General features: G+C 44.6%; 1 long non-coding RNA gene across 8 annotated transcripts in view; it reads right to left on the bottom strand.

The window, feature by feature from the left end:
* The window catches only part of LOC105372639 (uncharacterized), a 41,073-nt gene that overhangs the window by 15,360 nt on the left and 5,880 nt on the right, over window positions 1–19,833 (bottom strand). For 2 of the 8 annotated variants that reach the window (XR_936798.3, XR_007067625.1), the window contains exon 2: window positions 9,146–9,253. The exons of the other annotated variants lie outside the window; for them this stretch is intronic. This is a non-coding gene — a long non-coding RNA (uncharacterized LOC105372639). The remainder of the gene's footprint in view (window positions 1–9,145; window positions 9,254–19,833) is intronic. 8 annotated transcript variants of the gene reach the window in all.

The following is a 19,833-nucleotide window of genomic DNA, read 5'->3' as shown; positions in this document are numbered from 1 at the left end:
ATTTTAACTGCATGGCTCCAATTATACACAGTTCTTCCACTTCTGCCACCCCTGAAACAGCTCCACCTCTTCCTCCTGTTCCTCAGCCTACTCAACATGAAGATGACAAGGATGGAGACCTTCATAATGATCCACCTCCACTTAATGAATAGTAAATATATTTTCTCTTTCTTATGATTTTCTTCATAACATTTTTTCTCCAGCTTACTTTATTGTAAGAATATAGTATATAATACATATAACATACAAAATATGTGTTAATCAATTGTACATGTCATCAGTCAAGCTTCTGGTCAGCAGGAGGCTATTAATAGTTTAGTCTGGGGGAAGTCAGAGTTCTACACAGATTGACTGTGTGGGGGTCATCCATGCCCCTAATGCCCACATTGTTCAAGGGTCAACTGTAGTCTGGTGACAGGTGGGAGTGAACCTGTGGGACTTGGGTGGTGATGCTATTTGGGATTACCTGAGCTCAATAATTATTGTCACCTCCATTGTGAGTATCTTAAATCTATTAAGAAGTGAGAGGAGAAAAGTATGTTGTAACAAGAGGCTGGACAACATGTTGCACCCACAGCTACCGAAATCAAAAGGCTCCAGCTGCTTTTATTCCTATAAAGGATGAGATGTGGGCTGGGTGTGGTGGCTCACACCTGTAATCCCAGCATTTTGGAGAGGTCAAGGTGGATTGACCACTTGAGCCCAGGAGTTCAAGTCCAGCCTGGATAACATGGCAAAACCTCATCTCTACAAAATAATACAAAAATTAGCTGGGCGTGGTAGTGCCTGCCTGTAGTTCCAACTACTCAGGAGGCTGAGGCAGGAGAATTACCTGAGCCCAAGAGGTTGAATCTGCAGTGAGCCCTGATTGCACCACTGCACTACAGCCTGGGCGACAGAGCAAGACCCTGTCTCAAAAAAAGTAATGAGCTGTGAAGATATGTAAAAAGGTTGGCAAACTGCAAGTATAAAACACCAAAATCAATTTCATTTTATTTAAAAAAAAAACTTGGCTCAGTGTAGTAGACAAGTGTTGATTTTGGCCCACATACACACACACACACACACAAACATTATTTTTAGTAACAAAATATTCCCCATATATTTTCCAGGAGACCACCCCCTATCCTGCCATTTCAAGCCAAGAGAAATAAAAACATATGTCCAAATAAATATGTGTCTATGAATGTTACAGCAGCATTATTCATAATAGCCAAGAAGTGGAAACAGCCCAAACCTCCATCAATTAGTGAATGAATAAAAAAACAAACAGAACTGTGGTGTATCTATATTATGAGCTATTATTCAACAACAAAAATAAACACACTAAGATACACACCATGACCTGAATGAATCTCACAGACATTATGCTAAGCAAGAAAAGCTAGAAAATAAAACTAATAAATAATAAATAATGTTTGTAAAAAAGAAAGAAAATCAAGTTTAACAAGTCACAGACTTATGACTCCATTTATAATGACATTTTCGAAATGAAAACTATAGGGATTAGGGATCAGATTAGTGGTTGCCAACAGCTGGGGAGAGAAGATTGCCTACCAAGGGGCCACATGAAGAAATTGTGAGGGTAATGCAGCTGTTTTGCATCGTGATTTTGGTGGCGGAGAGGCCAATCAACACATGTGTTATAATCTATAGGCCTATATGCCCACAAGAGGTCCATTTTACCATAGGATCATTTTACAAATAAAATTATTTTTAAAAATCTTATGTGGATTAAATTTGGCTTTGGGCTCTAAAATTGATCTCCTGGATCAGAAGCTCTTTGGATGATCCTACTTTATTAAAGTTGAAGCTTTAAAGAAAATATACATATTCCATCCTTGAGCAAGCTGATTCCCTGAGGTTTTTTTTAAAAGTAAAATTTAACATTAATTTTGATTTTGTTGGCATTCCAGCCAATTAGCATAGTTCATTAGAATGTTTGGTTCAATCCAGGTGACTAAAAATGTTTATTTATATAATTAAATACATATGTAAAAAAGTCACATTTCAGAAAATATGTAAATGCAATTTTTGAAAAAGGAAGGTGCTTGATTTATGAGGCTCATCTTTTTTCGGGAGCTCTGAAGTTTCAAATCCTTCTGCAATATTTATTATTGTTCGGCTCTCTCTTAGAGAGGAGACTATGGGGTCTCCATAACCCAGATCCTATTTACTTATTTTTTATTTAAATATAATAATAATATTAATTATTATTATTATTATTAGATACAGGTCTTGCCCTGTCACCCAGACTGGAGTGTAGTGGATGATTATGGCTCACTGCAACCTTGACCTCCCAGGTTCAAGGGATCCTCCTACATTAGCCTCCTGAATAGCTGGGACTATAGGCATGCACCACGAGGCCTGGCTAATTTTTTTTAGTAATTCTTATTTCATTTTACTTTTTTCAAGATGGGGTCTTGCTATGTTGTCCAGTCTGGTCTCAAACTCCTGGGCTCCAGTGATCCTCCCACTTCAGCCTCCTAAAGCACTGGGACTACAGGCATGAGCTAGTGTGCCCAGCCACAGATCCTATTTGATCTAATCATTTAAGGAATAGGAGGAAGAAGAAGTGCAGTAAGAAAGAAATAGATTGTGCCATGTATTAGTCTGTTTTCACACTGCTATAAAGATACTACACAAGACTGGGTAATTTATACACAAAGGAGATTTAATTGACTCACAGTTCTGCATGGCTGGGGAGGCCTCAGGAAACTTACAATCATGGCAGAAAGCGAAGCAGGCACCTTCTTCACAAGGCGGCAGGCGAGAGACAGCAAGCAAGAGCATGGAAAACTGTCTTATAAACCCATCAGATCTCAAGAGAACTCCCTCACTATCAAGAGAACGGCATGGGGAACCATCCCCATGATCCAATCACCTCCCTCCATTGACACAGGGAGTTTACAAATGCAGATGACATATGGGTGGAGACAGAGCCAAACAATATCATGCTGCTTTTTGTCTTTGATGGAGGTTGAACGATAATTTTTTTTTTAACAAAGAAGACAGAGGAAGCACTGGCAAAGAGGAAAGGGAGAAGTCAAAAGCACTGCCAGGTCTTAGAGCAAACTCTATGAAAAGAGACACTCGGGTGCATCAGAGGCTCCAGATTTCCCTTCCTTCTTCCTTATTAACTGAACCCTGATGTTAATTGAAGAGATTGTATTCCCAGCTAAACAAAATTTCCCAGGCTCTCTTGAATCAAATGTTCACATGACACAGACCCAGCAAATGATTACTCAACATAAGCTACTGGGCAGGACTTCCGGGAAAACGCTTTAAAAGGAGCTGACTCAGCAGGCAGGTGTCTGTTACTATTGTCTGTCATGTTGGCTGGAACTGTGGCAGCCGTTTTGAGAGCATGAAGACAGGGCTCACAACAAAGATAGGGTCATGGAAATCCAGAAAGGGCATGGGTCCCAGATGTTATCATGGAGCTACCATTCCATCCCTGGACTACCTGCCTCTAGACTTATTTAACATGAGGAAAAATAAACCCCTATTGGAGAGGGGCTAGGGGTCTCTGTAACTTGTAGAACTTGTAGCCAAAACAAGTCTCAAGAAACTTCATGCCTATTTTTCAACCACCCATAACAAACCACCTCCTGATGTGACAGTGCCTATATCTCTTCTCTTTCCAGGGGGGCCCTTCCTTGAACTGAAATGATAGATATTTCTGCTACTTTTCCATTTGCATGGAAAACACTAAATTATAATATATCATTTTCATTTCACTGTACCATCAAATACTTCTTTGAAGTCAATAATCATAAAGCTCATCCCAGGAGTAATTTCCTGATCATCAAATTTTTGAATGTATAGTTTAATTTGTTATCCCTGCTGGCAAGGCAGTTGGTGGGTATGTTACACCCTGGAGATTTCACTGTTATTTTTCCAAAAGGATGTAAATCAATCTTCAGATAACTTTCAATTGTGTACATTATTAAGAGACACCATAGAATCAGGACATCAAAGAGCTTGATAGAACTTCAAGAAAAATTCCAGCTGAGATATTGTTTATGTAGTAGGGTGAACATTTGCAAGAGTTGTCCGCAAAGTAATCTGGTGGCAATCCAAAGCTTTTCTCAGTCTCATGAAAAACTATAGATATTCTAGGACACATTCAGGAGGGTGACCTTCCTGTGCCTCTACCCAGCTGTCTCTGATTCAAGCATCTCTGAGGTCCCCATGCCTCCATTATTAATGATGTGGATCAGACTTGGCTATGAGTTGCAAATAGCAGAATCTACTCTAACTAGTTTAAGCCAAAAAGGAATGTATTCAGTGACTCCCAGAAGCTCTGCAAGGCCAGAGAATCAGGCTTGGAGGCTATATAACAGAAACAAGGCAGACCCACAGCTACTGGTGGTGCTGGGCATATCACTGACACAGACAATAGGGGACAGTGTGACAGCCACCCACCTCTGCCTCCCCACTGCTCTGTACCTTCTGCAAGCCCCATATGTCTCTTCAGTACCCTCTGCAGAATGGTCTCTGCACGCTGCCGTCTTTTACACAACCTTCTCTTCTTAACGAGAGTCTAGTTCGTACCCCTCTGATCAGTGCACTCCATGTCACATGTCTGCTCTCTAGCTGTAAGGCAGATGGGAACGTAGACTTCTGGCTTTTCTTTTGGGGATGTGCAGACACATCAGGAAAAAATTTCCCTGACATGTAAGAGTTTTCAAAAGGTTCTGGAAACCCACAAATCATGACCAATGCCATTATCAGTCATTCTCCCAGCACAGGTATTGGCACAGGTATTGTAGCTCAGCTCTTGACCACAGTAACATCACTTCCCATTTCCAGGCTAAAAATTGGCAAAGGAGCATAAGAAGAAGAAGAAGAAAAAGCAGATTCAAATTTCCAACTGCCTGGTTAAGAAACACAAAGAAGGGAGCTAATGATCGGTAGAGAAAAGTCACGATACAAATTCCAGATGTTATTCCAGAAAAAGGTGTTTTTGGCATGAACTTGTAATTCTAAAGTAATAAAAACCATTCCATTTTAGAAGAAACAGTGTCTAGTTTTCCAAATATGTGTGTGTGTATCAAAGTATGATTCTCAAATGTTAAAAGCATAATTCTCATGAGCTGGATGGTAAGCATTTGTCAAATCTGTTTCATTAATAATGGAACTAATAGGATGGCAAAGTTGATTCAAAATAGGGTATAAGAACAAGGATTCCATGCAGTCAATCAAAAAGAAGAAATTCTGCCATTCAATTGCTGAGTTGGCTACAATCACTTCAATATCTTAATGGTCAATAATGTTATAATTTGGGGATTATCTTTAGTGCCATCAGAAAAGAAACACATTCTACTTTATAAGTTTCCTATATCTTAACCTCTAACTTTCCAGAATTATAAAATGTCTGGGCCCTAACAATGGTAACTAGGAAGTCAAACAAAGTCACATCTCATGAGGGACTCAGGTCCCCCCACATGGACTTGTTAGACTGCCCTACACCCTGACACTATGTGTCTCAATCATCTTTATACCTTATTTTCAAGTTTTGAATATTTTTTAAACATATATGAGCTTTTCCCCCATACCTCAAAGATAAATATATTGGTTTGACTTGGGCTTTTTCCCACTTAACACCTGTTCAATCACTCATTTATCCAGCAAATGTTGATTGGGCTTCCATTCTGTGTCAAGAACTCATGTAGACAAAAGTAAATTAGACATAATTCTAACCCAAAGAAACAAAAACCTGAAGTTAATTCTTACAAAGTTCAATAATGGAGTTGTTAAAAATAATAACAAAGTGCTGTGGGATGGAAGGGAGGAGGAAGCAGTTCTGCCTTAAGTTTGGAGGTCAGAGGTACAAGTAAGTTAGGCAGCCTCAACGTTTCTTAAAAACCTACTAGGTGGGCCAGGCGTGGTGGCTCACGCCTGTAATGCCGGCACTTTGGGACACTGAGGCGGGTGGATCACTTGAGGCCAGGAGTTTGAGACCAGCCTGGGCAACATGATGAAACCCAATCTCCACTAAAAATACAAAAATTAGCCAGACATGGTGGCACATGCCTGTAATCCCAGCTACTTAGGAGGCTGAAGCACGAGAATTGCTTGAACCCAGGAGGCAGAGGTTGTAGGGAGCCGAGATCGAGCCACTGCACTATAGCCTGGGTGACAGAGTGAGACTTCATCTCAAATAATAACAATAATAATGATAATAATAATGCCTAGTAAGTGCCATACATATCCCAGGCTGTAAGAATCCCAGGATGTGTTGCTTGTGCACATGGGCTGGGGCAGGCCTCTGGTGCTGTAGACCGGCCAGTGCCCATTCCCCACTCTTCTGCCCTGGACTTCAAGTTCCCCTCGAGGATCCCATGCCCACTTGGTCACCATCTCAGGAATGGATGACCAAGGTGCTCTGCCAGAGAGTGAGCGTGGGGCCCAAGCCCACACTTCCCTCCTGGGAAATTTTACCTTGAGGGGACTGAGACAAGAAACAAGAGTGAGTAGGCCCTCACCCCAAAATGTATGCCTCAAAGAGATTTCTCAGACTTGACCCAGGTCTAGTCCTTCTGTCACCTGGTCCCTTAGCCCTTCTGTGTTCTCCGAGCTACCCCACATCTGTCCACAGATCCATGTTTTGGTAAGGCTGACCAAAGCCAGCTTCCATTGCTTGCAGCCAAAGGATCCTGGCTGGTGAATGCAGCAGCTGGAGAAATGTGCCAAGGAAGGGAGGTGGTTGGCATGGCAGAAGATCCAATACCAGCAACTCCCACCCTGTCTACCCCTCTCTCCCATCCAATATGTTCAGTCTTTACCATGGGATGGGACCACAGCATGACTCTTTTGAGAGACTGACAAATCCCAGGTAGGGGAATTCACCTTCTCAGCCCCAAAGTCACAGTTTACAGCCCCTTTTGGCTACCAGGCATCATGCCAGGAACAGAGGATGTAATTCCTGCCCTTGAGGAACTTCTGTAAATGATTTCAAAACACTTGCAGGATGGACCCGAGTTTATCCACATGAACTCAATGAGAAAATGCTCCTATCATGTGCATTTCACACCTGATAGGATTTGGATGTTTGTTCCCTCCAAATCTCATGGTAAAATGTGATCCCCAGTGTTGGAAGTGGGGCCTGGTGGGAGCTGTTTGGATCACAGAGGTGAATCGCTCATGAAATGGCTTGGTGTCCTACCATGGTAATGAGTTCTCTTGTGATCTGGTTGTTAAAAAGAGTCTGGAACCTCCCCAACCCCTGCTCTCTTGCTCCCTCTCTCACCATGTGACACCCAGACTCCCCTTCACCTTCTGCCATGAGTAAAAGCTTCCTGAGGCCTCATCAGAAGCAGATGCTGGTGCCACGCTTCTTGTGTTTCTTGTACAGTCTGCAAAACTGCGAGCCAAATAAACCTCTTCTCTGCATAAATTACTCAGTCTCGGGTATTCCTTTACAGAAATATAAAGCAGATGAATACAACATTGAAAGGAGAGAACTGAACTGACTTGTGGAAACCCTACTTCCTCTGGAGCTCAGTTTCACTGTGGGAGGGAGCTGCCCTTGCTGTGAGGCAGGCATCGTGATTCTGTCAACATGGCAGACCAAGCCCAGTGCTTGAAATGTGTGGAGAGTTTGTACCGTCAGCATACGAGAGACCTGTATAGGCCACCGTCAGTGATTTCCAATATGTTTTTCAACACCAAAGGATGATTCTCTTGAGGGAGGTTGTCTTGCCTACCTGCAGTTTGTTACTGCTTCACGGAGCATCTGGAGCAATAAAGTGTATCCTATTTTATACAGAAGGCTGCCTCAGGAAAACTTTCTATTTGTCTTCTCAGTATTTATTCATTCAACAGATATTTAAGGAGCTTCCACTGTTGAGTGTTATCATTCTAGATGCTCAAAATACAGCATTGAACAAAATGGACAAAAATCTCCATGTCAAAAGGACATGCCTTTTAGTGAGGGGAGTTTATGGCAGCAACTTGATTTTCATTTAGAAAACTCTCCCCACCCCTACCCAGCCAATGTAGTGTGGAGAGAAAAACATCCCAGAGTCAGGGGCTGGGACCTATGATCCAGGTTAAACCTATCAGCACCAGCGTTGCCCCGGCAACAAGAACTTATCACAGGTGGGCACGTGACCTAAGCTGATTCCATCTGAGTTAATCTCGGGCTTTTTGAAAGCTACTAGAAAACCAGCCGACCCTAACTCATCGTTTGACAACCTTAGTAAAATACATCCTGGGGCAATTTTTACATCCCTTTGGTCCCCAAGAGCTAAGCCAACTCTAAGATGCCCTGATGACCGCTGGATTTGCTATGCCTGATGATGATGCCAAAGATGACCAGATAACTTACTCGCCAACTCAGGACATGTGTTAAGTGCGAAAGGCAGCACCATTCACAATTACAGCAAAACAACCAGCACTGACGAGGACCACCTTGTGCAAACCAGGTGTGCTCAGCCAGTTCCTGGTTGACTTTTTTTCATCATACGAGGCAAGAAATTACCTCGTCATTAAGCCACTCAATATTCTTGCAATGAAGTTCCTCTGCTTAGGTAGGGAGCAACACTGAGGTTTAGTGATAGGTTGGGTCATACGGGAATGCTATTAATAATTAAGGCAGCAAACAGGCTCACACGGGCACTCCCCTGTTCAGACCAGGACAGAGGCTTACATACACACTGAATGTCTGCTAGGTGCTGGCCCTGTGCGTACTGGGCGTGGAGGGTTCTAGGATGATCGAGGCACAAGTACCTTCCTCGAGGAGCTCACTGTCTTAGTCAGAGACATGAATACCTAAACACACAATGGCAGCACAAGATGCTGAGAGGGAGCCACAGGAGGAGCTCACCTGCTCAGCTGCCTCTTTCAATCATGATCATGTCGTCAGAGTTTGCCTTTGTTCAGTAAAGCCCAGCAATGGTGAATTACTGGACAGAGCAACTGAGTTGACTTTCTTACTTCCCCCAGCATTAACTGAAAATTCCAGCCCTTCAAACAAAAATGGCAGGCCATCTGTGGTTTAATATTTGAGCTGCTTTCTGTCTCTCAGCTATTAGAATTTTTGCCTGGGAGATTTAGAGATGGAAGCCCCTCATCTTTGGGTCAAGAAGACAGTGGCAAGGGAATGAAGAGAAGGCTTAGCCTCTCCCTCCATGCTTACCCTGGAAGGTTTGTAGGGAGAGGAAGCGTTTCTGCAATATCCACTCTTGATAGCGCCTGTTCTTGGTGGGCAGGGGATTGCCAGAGTGACTTCTCAACAACTTTTATTCTAAAATTAAAACAAAAGCATAATTTTCCAAAGACATCAGGTAGCACGGGCCACGTGGCTGCGTCTGATCCATTTCCCTGGTGGGAAGCACGTGGCAGCGCAGGAGGGAGCCCTCTGTGCTGGTGTTCAGCATGGCTGCATTGATTTTATTAGTTTGTCTTTTGTATTTGGAAAAATACAGAACATTTGGCCAAGGATCTGTCTTTATTGAATGGCCCCGCATACCGTGGTCAACACATCAAGCTGGCATCTATTCCAAAACACACCATGAGGAAAAGCAGAGATACGACGTCTCTTATCTTCCTGAGCGGTACAAGCCGTGTGACAAGTAAACGGGTGGGTTTGATGGAGTGTAAGACAGCTTGTCATCCAACAGCTAAGTGGCCTTATTTCCTTTCCCTGGGATAATATTGGATTTCATACCGATAGCATCAACAAGAGAAAGGCTCGTACCTAACAGCTAATTTCTGAAGAACATATGTTTCTGCTCAGTTTAGGCACCTTTATGGCCCCTTGTGACATTGCAATACTTTCTGCTGCAAAACAGACCTCATTCGACTCATCTGTCTTACATCTAATTCAAGTCAAAACCAGTAAAGCCAGCCAACTCCTGGCCTATTTGTAATTCTTCCACAAATTATTGTCGCTGATTCTCGCGTGCTACAATTTTTTTTCAGGAACCAGCAGCTGAAAAAACAAATGCTGATCAAATTGCAGATCTCATTTGCTTTTCTGTATTATTCTCTTAAAAGAGGAAAGTCACAAATTGGGATCCTAACGGGACGACAAGTCTCATCTGTATAGATACTGTATTATTATTTTTATTTTTTAAAAATCACAAACCCGGAGCACCTGTCTACCTTTAACTCTGTAAACACAAAGCGAATCCTTTGGCAATCTGCACACTTCTCGATAAACACAATACACTCCCACAGCTCAGCATTCAGGGTGATCAGACCAGAAAGCTTGGAGTCAACCTGTATGGGTTTTATTGTTCTCCTTCAAACCATTTTACAAAAACATCCCATCCATTTTACAACCACTTCAACCACGCTTCAAACACTTCTGTCGTCACAACTGCTACTGCCATGGTCCATCACTATTGAAAAGGAAACCGTCTCCTCTCTGATTTCCCAGAGTCTGCACTTGCCCCAGCTGCTCCCCTATCCTATTCTGAGCACAATGGTCAGAAAAATCTTTCTAACTACAAGTCACAGGCAAGATTCCAAGATGGCCCCATGATTGCTCCTTCCCTCCTTTAGAGTCTGGGCAGAAACAAAATCTGATGGGATATCGTGCCATGGATTAGGTTGCTAACCGACTGACTTTGAGTTGATCAAAGGTGAAAGAGTCTGGATGGACCTGACCTAATCAAGCAAATTATTGAAAGAAGCTGAGTTCTTTGGGAAGGAACGATGGAGGGGACCATGTGTCGAGGGCCTGGGAGCAACAGCCAGAGGCTGAGTGTGGTGATGAGCTGACAGCTAGAAAGACACAGGGTCTTTGGCCCTTCAGCGCCAAGGGAAACTGATTCTGTCCAACAACCCGGGGGAGTTTGGAAGTGGATCTTTCCCAAGTGGAGCCCCTAGATGAGGACGCAACCAACTAACATGTGGATTTCAGGCTTGTGGGGACCTGAGCAGAGAGCCAGCTCTAACATGCTTGACTCCTTTACCCCCAGAAACCACACAGTAATAAACCTGTGTCATGTTCAGCTACTAAGATTGTGGTCATGTATTACACAGCAATAGAAAATGAATATCAAAGAAAATAATATTTCTTCCCTCTGTTCAAAATCCCTCAAAGTCCTCCGGAGTCACTAAGATAAAACCCAGATCCTCACAGCGGCCCATGAGGCTTTGTGGGTGTCTGGCCTCCCTGCCTCTCTGGCTTCTCTGTCCATGCATCTCCCTCCACTCTGCTGTGGCCATACTGGTCCCTCACTGCTGCTGGAACATGCTCCTGCCCCAGGGCCTTTGCACTTGCTGTTCCCTCTGCCTTTCCCCAAGATATTAGCCTGTCTCCCACCTTTGTGGCCTTCAGGTCTCTGCTCCATGACAGCTTTCTCTGAGGATCCCCACTTCCACCCAACCCCCCTTCCTGGCTTCATTTTCCCACTCAGCATCAGCCTCCTCCTGGTACACACAAGACACATTCTGTCTTTTTTTTTTTTTTTTTTTTTTGAGACGGAGTCTCGCTCAGTCGCCCAGGCTGGAGTGCAGTGGCGTGATCTCGGCTCACTGCAAGCTCCGCCTCCCGGATTCAGGCCATTCTCCTGCCTCAGCCTCCCGAGTAGCTGGGACTACAGGCGCCCGCCACCATGCCCAGTTAATTTTTTTGTATTTTTAGTAGAGACGGGGTTTCACTATGTTAGCAGGATGGTCTTGATCTCCTGACCTCATGATCCACCCATCTCGGCCTCCCAAAGTGCTGGGATTACAGGCATGAGCCACCGTGCCCGGCCACATTTTGTCTTTTTATTGATTGTCCTTGACCGGAGCATGAGCTCCATAGCATCAGAACCTTGGTTTTGGATCCCCTGCTTTAGACTTTGAGTGAAGAACAGTGCCTGGCACATTGCAGACACTCAGTAACCTCTTGAATGAATGAATGAATGAATGAGGGGTTAATTGGGAAACCAAGCAAAACAGAGGGTTCCTTGGAGCCTTAAATGCCAAGGGAAAGGCGACATGTGAACCTCAGGGTGTCTATATACAGAAAACACCAAAACCACAGAGTTTTATCAGACTGTGTCGTTAGCACCTCCCAATCTTTGTGCTTTTTAAAGAAACCATGAAACATAGTTTCCACCTTGGCATGTGCTTTTTGTTGTTGTTTTGTTTCGAGATGGAGTTTCACTCTGTTACCCAGACTGGAGTGCAGTGGCATGATCTCGGCTCACTGCAACCTCCACCTCCCGGGTTCAAGCAATTCTCGTGCCTCAGCTTCCCGAGTAGCTGGAACTACAAGTGGGTCCCACCACGCCCAGCTAATTTTTTGTATTTAGTAGAGATGGGGTTTCACCATGTTGCCCAGGTTGTTCTTGAACTCCTGAGCTCAGGAAATCCACACTTCAGCCTCCCAAAGTGCTAGAATTACAGGCGTGAGCCACTGAGCCCGGCCTTGGTGTGTGGGTTTTAATCAGCCTTTCTTTGCCTGCTCAGCAGCTACTGGAGCTCCTGGGTCCCCCAGATGCCCGACTAGTCATGGAGCCCTTTTCCCTTTGGAGAAAACGAGGCTGACATGAGCAGTTGCTGTGCTGCCTTTGTCAGTCAGGACCAAGACACACAGCACCAAATGTCAGCCAAAGATGAGACTCCTGCAACAAGGGGCTAATTGGTTGAAACATTTTGCGTAATTGGAAGATGAGGTTAACAGCAATAAGGAAAATTCAGGTGGATGTCCAAGGGTTTATGAAGCAGACGCTGAAAAATAAATAGATCAGAGGGCGTCCAACTAGCCCCGCCTGACTCTGCTATTTCTTGGATAGTGATGGTGCCACAGAGAGGATGTGTGTTTGCTTAAAATCAAGGGCTGTGGAATTGGGTCAGGGACTTGGGTTGAAATCCAGCTGCCAGCTCTCCAGCTGTGTGACCTTGACAAGGCCCGCCCCCTGACCTTTCCCCAGTCTGTAAAGTGGAACAACATTCATAAGAAGCGTGACTGCCTTAGGGGCTGCAGGAGGGTCCATAATCCACAGGAGACTAGACCACTTGGGGGTTTCCAGGCCACACACACACAGGGCACTTTCTCACACAGGGCTCTGCTGGCTGGATACTCGCGTGCTCCAGGGAAGCCACTCGTCCACCCCATGGGGTGGGTACTGCCGCTCTCCTACTTTCCGGAGGAGGGAACCAGGCATGCAGAGGGAGCCTCTTGCCCACGGCACACAGCAAAAGCCCCAGCGTCCTGAGCTCAGGGGCCGGCCCCATCCCACTGACAGGTTTGCTTCTATGAAAGGATCATTTTCCCTCCCGCTGTTGGCTTGTTTGATCATCAGACACTGATGTCTGGGCCATTCCTTGAGCCCTAAATCTGAGGAGTCTGAAAGGTTGATGCCCAGGCAGCTTGGGGGTGCCAAGAAGACCTAGTTTCCTGACATCCCACCCCAGACCCAGGGCGGGGTGAACGGCCGTCTAAGGAGCCAGTGTCAGCCAAAGCAAAGGCACCGTGAAGGCTATACTAGGGGTCATTGCTCAGTGACAATGTCACATGATGCAAAATTCATGGGATAATGGAAAAGAAATTTTCTGCAGGTCATGAGAGGTCAGCTTTTCCTGAAAACCCAAATGCGTAGAGAGGAAGAAGGTGGGGACAAAGCACAAGCAGCACTTTTTAAAAGAGAGGAAGAAAGAGAAAAATATTTATGTCACTTGTTCCTGGAAGAGTTCATGAAATTACAGAAATTTTTAAATCCCCAAAATGGATCTTGGACAACTGCGCCCCTCCCAGGTTTAACTCCATGGTCAGAGGCTGGCAGAAGGCTCTCCCAGTTACAGGATCTGGCACCAGCCTGTCCTCAGTGAGACCTGCAGGGTTCAGGAGAATTCACCTTAGCCCTTTGCTGAACCCCTGAGTCTCAGCTGCTCCCAATGCTGCAGACATAGGCACCTCAGAAGATCCCTGGCATGAGGAGTTGGCTCCTTCAGGAAATGCCCTCACTTTCCGAGTCTGGTCATGCCACAGGTAGGTTTATGAACAAGATGGTTTGAACAAGAGAAGTCAGTGTTCTTGTCCTAGAACTTTTTTTTTTTTTTTTGAGAGAGATTCTTACTCTGTTGCCCAGGCTAGAGTGCAGTGGCACAATTTTGGCTCACTGCAGCCTCCCCCTCCCAGGTTCAAGCGATTCTCCTGCCTCAGCCTCCCAAGTAGCTGGGGTTACAGGTGTCTGCCAGCATGCCCTGCTAATTTTTGTATTTTTAGTAGAGACAGGGTTTTGCCGTGTTGGCCAGGCTGGCCTTGAACTCCTGACCTCAGGTGATGCACTCGCCTTGACCTCCCAAAGTGCTGGGATTGCAGGCATAAGCCACCACTCCCAGCTTGTCCTAGAACTTTTATCCTAGTTTAAAGCTTATGCTATCCTTTTATGTAGGTTATTAATAATTATCACTAATATTAATAATAAAACAGAATTATTAAGGATGATAATCATTTCATTATAATTAATACCTAGATATTAATACATTAATAATAACATCATTACTTTAATTCTTTACAAAATCGTGCAAAATAGCTCTCACAAGCTACATTTAGTTTGATGTAGTTTGTAGGAGGATGTCAGGGAATTCTTACAACTCTACCTTATTGTAGATGAAAAAATAAAACTGGGCACAGAGAGGGGAAGTGACTTGCCTGAGGACACACAGCAAGTAAGGGACTGAGCTGAAGCCTGGGCCTGGCTCCTCTCCTATGTCCAGGCTGGCTACTGGTGGGAAGAGGAGCACTGGAATGGGAGTTAGGCGCTCTACATTCTCCCCGGCTTCCTCCCCAACTAGCCCTGGGGCCTTGAGTAGGTCACTCCTTCTCAGGCCTGAGTTGTACCACTGTTGACATGCAAGCAAATGAATCATGGAGCAACATAATGCCCCAGGATCTTTTTATCTCTGTTATTCTGAGACACCAACAGCTCAGCCTCCAGCTCTCTTTGGTGATTTCTCCAGCTCACCCTCCATTCTCCCCACTCCCACACCTAAGGAATCCTTATCAGTAATTTTATTCTACCTTTGGTAAGACAATTGCAGACAATAACTAATGCATTCTCCCCATATAATAGACAGAGGAACTTTTTAATTATTTAAATATTTTAAAAGATCAAAACGCTATAAACAGGAGCAAAGTCCCCCCTCATCATCTCCTTCCTGGGCCTGACCCCACTCCATAACTGCCCATGGTGTTGATATCAGTGTGCTGGTGTCCAGACCTGATTCCCCAGTTCTACCTATTTGTGTGCCTATAAAGACAAGACCATATTTTTGTATGCACATGTTTCTATAGATGGCTTCTCACATCACATATGGTCTAGCATCTTGCTTTTCCCCCCTCAACCAGATGCACTAGAGACCTGTCGGCCTTGCTGCATACAGATACCTCCTCCCTTATACCTGCTGTGGTCTGTATGTGTCTATGTCTGGAGCTAACCCCCATGTATTAGTTCGTTCTCACACGGCTATAAAGGCATACCTGATACAGGGTAATTTATAAAGAAAACAGGTTTGATCAGCTCAAGGTTCTGTGGGCTGCACAGCCTTCTGCTTCTGGGGAGGCCTCAGGAAACTCACAATCATGGCAGAAGGCGGAAGGGAAGCAGGCATATCTTCACATGGCCAGCAGAAGACAGAGAGTAAGGAGGTGCTACACACTTTTAAACAAGCAGATCTCAGGAGAGCTCTAATCACAAGAACAGCAAGGGGTAAGTCTGTCCCCATGATTCAGTCACCTGCCACCAGGCCCCTCCTCCAACATTGAGGATTACAATTTGACATGAGATTTGGATGGGAACACAGAGCCAAATCATATTACCCTAGTTCATATCACCTTTCCCCTAAGGATGGACACTTAGGCTGTGAGTGGTCATGAGGACGTTTGTGAACTAGTTCCGATTCTCTGCCCTCTGGGCAGGTGGCAGTGCAACTGCCCTTCTCTGCCCTGCACTGAAGGTAGTCATGATCTTGGGACTTAATATTGAGCAATGAAGTGAAAGCACAAGTCCTATGTGTCACTTCCAGGCAGAAGCTTAAGAGGCAGTCCCTGATCTTCCAGGTGCCCTTTGTCCTGCCTGGGCTGTCACAGGAGCATGAAGAGAAAGTCACCCTCTACAGGATCCCTGAGTGGGCATGACGTAGAGCAGAAGCCCCACCTACCTGAGGCACATGCAGCATGAGTGAAAAACAACATCAGGGCCAGGCGCGCTGGCTCACGCCTGTAATCCCAGCACTTTGGGAGGCCGAGGCGGGCGGATCACGAGGTCAGGGGATCGAGACCATCCTGGCTAACACTGTGAAACCCCGTCTCTACTAAAAATACAAAAAATTAGTCGAGCGTGGTGGCGGGTGCCTGTAGTCCCAGCTACTCGGGAGGCTGAGGCAGGAGAATGGCGTGAACCCAGGAGGCAGAGCTTGCAGTGAGCCGAGATCGTGCCACTGCACTCCAGCCTGGGTGACAGAGTGAGACTCTGTCTCAAAAAATAAAAAAAAATAAAAAAATTAAAAACCTTAGCTGTTCAAGCCCCTGGTATTTTTGTGGTGCTTGTTTTTTTTCTTTCTTTGTTTGTTTGTTTTTATGAGATGGAGTCTCGCTCTGTGGCCAGGCTGGAGTGCAGTGGTGTGATCTCAGCTGACTTCAACCTCCACCTCTCGGGTTCAAGTGATTCTCCTGTCTCAGCCTCCCAAGTAGCTGGGACTACAGGCACGCACCACCACCACGCCCAGCTAATTTTTGTATTTTTAGTAGAGACGAGGTTTCATCACGTTGGCCAGGATGGTCTCGATCTCTTGACCTCGTGATCCTCCTGCCTTGGCCTCCTAAAGTGCTGGGATTACAGGCGTGAGCCAGCGTGCCCAGTCATGGTGCTTATTACTGTGGCATAAGCTAGGCTGTTCTGACTGCTGTAAATTATTTTGGGGTGGACTGAATAATTGTGCCCCCAAAGCTGTTCACATCCTAATCCACAGAATCTGTGAATGTTATCTTACATGACCAAAGGGACTTTGCAGATACAATTAAGAATATTAAGATGGAAAGATTAACCTGGATTGTCCACAAGGGCCTAATGTAATCTCAGGGATCCTTATAAGACGGGGGAAGGTCTCTGAGGAATCACCACACTGCTTTTCACAATGGTCGAACTAATTTACACTCTCACTAACAGTGTATAAGGGTTCCTTTTTCTCTGAAACCCCACCAACCACTTGTCGTTTTTGACTTTTTAATAGTAGCCCATCTGACTGGTGTGAGATGATATCTCACTGTGGTTTTGATTTGCATCTCTCAAATGATTAGTGATATTGAGCTTCTTCTCATATGCTTCTTGGCCGCATGTATTCTTTTTTTGTTTTTTTGTTTTTTTTTGAGATGGAGTGTCGCTCTGTCCCCCAGGCTGGAGTGCAGTGGTGCAATCTCAGCTCACTGCAAGCTCCGCCTCCGGGTTCACGCCATTCTCCTGCCTCAGCTTCCCAAGCAGCTGGGACTACAGGTGCCTGCCACCATGCCCGGCTAATTTTTTTTTTGGATTTTTAGTAGATAGAGGTTTTTACCATGTTAGCCAGGATGGTCTCGATCTCCTGACCTCGTGATCTGCCCGACTTGGCCTCCCAAAGTGCTGGGAATCCAGGTGTGAGCCCCTGCGCCCGGCCGGCCACATGTATTCTGTGGTGGCATGCGTCTGTTCTGGGTATGTACCCAGAGGAATACACATCATTCTATCATAAAGACACATGCACTTGTATGTTCACTGCAGCACTATTCACGACAGCAAAGACATGAAACCATAAATGGTAGACTGGATAATGAAAATGTGGTACATATACACCACGGAATACTATGCAGCCATAAAAAAGAACAAAATCATGTCCTTTGCAGGAACATGGATGGAGTTGGAGGCCATCATCCTCAGCAAACTAATGCAGGAACAGAAAACCAAATAACATGTTTTCACTTATAAGTGGAAGCTAAATGATAAGAACACATGGACACATAGAAACAGCAGACACTGGGATCTATCAGAGGGTGGAGGGTTGGAGGAGGTGGAGGATCAGGAAAAAATAACTAATGGGTACTAGGCTTAATACCTGGACGATGAAATAATCTGTACAACAAACCCCCATGACACAAGTTTATCTATATTATAAAACCTACACATGTACCCCTGAACCTAAAATAAAATTTTTTTGTTTGTTTGTTGTCGTTGTTGTTGTTTTTTAGAGGAAGAACGAGCACAGTGTCTCACTCCTGTAACATCAGCACTTTGGGGAGGCCGAGGCAGGCAAATCAGTTCAGGCCAGGAGTTCAAGACCAACTTGGCCAACATGGCAAAATCCCATCTCTACTAAAAATACAAAAATTAGCTGGGCATGGTGGCATGCACCTGTAATCCCAGCTACTCAGGAGGCTGAGGCATAAGAATCTCTTGAACTGGGGAGATGGAGGCTGCAGTGAGCCAAGCTAGCGTCACTGCACTCCAGCCTGAGCAACAGAGTGAGACTCTGCCTCAAAAAAAAAAAAAAAAAAAAAAAAAAAAAGGAGGAAGAGGGGACAGAGTCAGAAACTAGTGATGTGGCAACAGAAATAGAGAGAGAGAGAGAGATTGGAAGATGCTCCATTGCTGCCTTTGAAGATGGAGGATAGGGCCATGAGCTAAGGAATGCAGGTGGTCCTTGGAAGCTAGAAAAGGCAAGGAAATGGATTCTCCCCAAGAGCAGCCTTGTCAACCCATTTCAGACTCCAGAACTGTAAGAGAATAAACGGGTGTTGTTTTAAGACATGAAGTTTATAATGATTTGTTACAGAAAGAATAAGAAACTAATACATCTTCCAAATTTTTGTAAAACAAACTATGTTCAATGAACATCCCTCCAAATCTCTTGGCTATATATGAGTGTTTCCCAAATTAGACTTTTAAACGAAGGATATATCCTCTAAAAGTGTATGTTCTTTTTTAAGAATTAAAATGAACTTCCTGCTAAAGAAAATTGTATTCAAAATTTCTGAAATATCTGAGGTTAAATACAGAATACTACTTAATAATCCATCACTCCCTGTTTAATATGAAGCTCCAGGTAATTGACATCCATTCTCCCCATCTGATATTTTTATTGAATTAGGCACAGTCATAGTTTGTGGTTAGGCTGGGGATGGTGAATTTTGTTTCTTGGCCCAAAAGAACTCACAGAGAACCTCTTGCTGAGAAGAGACAAATTTGGAGTCCTCTTCCCCTGCCCCCTTCCCTGTATTTATTTGCCCTGATCATACATGTGCACCCTCTATTGCCTGTAGATAGGCAGCTGCAGGAAATGGCAGGACAATCATCTTACAGGGTATGCCGTGGTCTCAGAACCCCAATGTCATTTTGCATTTTGCTCCCCTGTATTTAGCCCAGGAGTGGGTTAGGGAAAGTCACAAACTGCCAGTGGAATGAAATCTTCAACCTTCCCAACCTTTGTCCAGACCTGTCTCCTATTCCCCGCATTTATGGCTAAAACTTGTTTTCTTTTTATTTTTCTCCCTGGGAACCCTGAGATGGAGCAGGCCTATGGACTAGGCAAGATTCTTAATGGCTGGTTTGATTGATCAGGCCTCAGCTGTTCTCTCATTTTCGTATACAAAGGTTACCTAGCTCCAGAAACAATCAATGGATCACTAATGTATGCAGGCATGTTCTCACCCGCTTTCAGGCTACAGGACATTTTATAGACAGGCTGCCAAGTCATTTTAAAGCTGTGAGCACTCAAATTGTTTTTATAGCTGAGCCCATGCTGGAACACACTGATTTCAAGGCTTGGTGTGGTTCTGATTCTTTATAAGCTGCTAATGGGTACGTGGGGAGAGAAAAGTCAGATTGGAAGGCTTGCATTTAGGATGGTGAA

Source organism: Homo sapiens, chromosome 20 (genome assembly GCF_000001405.40).
Source record: "Homo sapiens chromosome 20, GRCh38.p14 Primary Assembly".
Classification (NCBI taxonomy): Eukaryota; Metazoa; Chordata; class Mammalia; order Primates; family Hominidae; genus Homo; species Homo sapiens.
The sequence above is the reverse complement of the archived record's forward strand: the minus strand, read 5'-3'. Positions and strand labels throughout refer to the sequence as shown.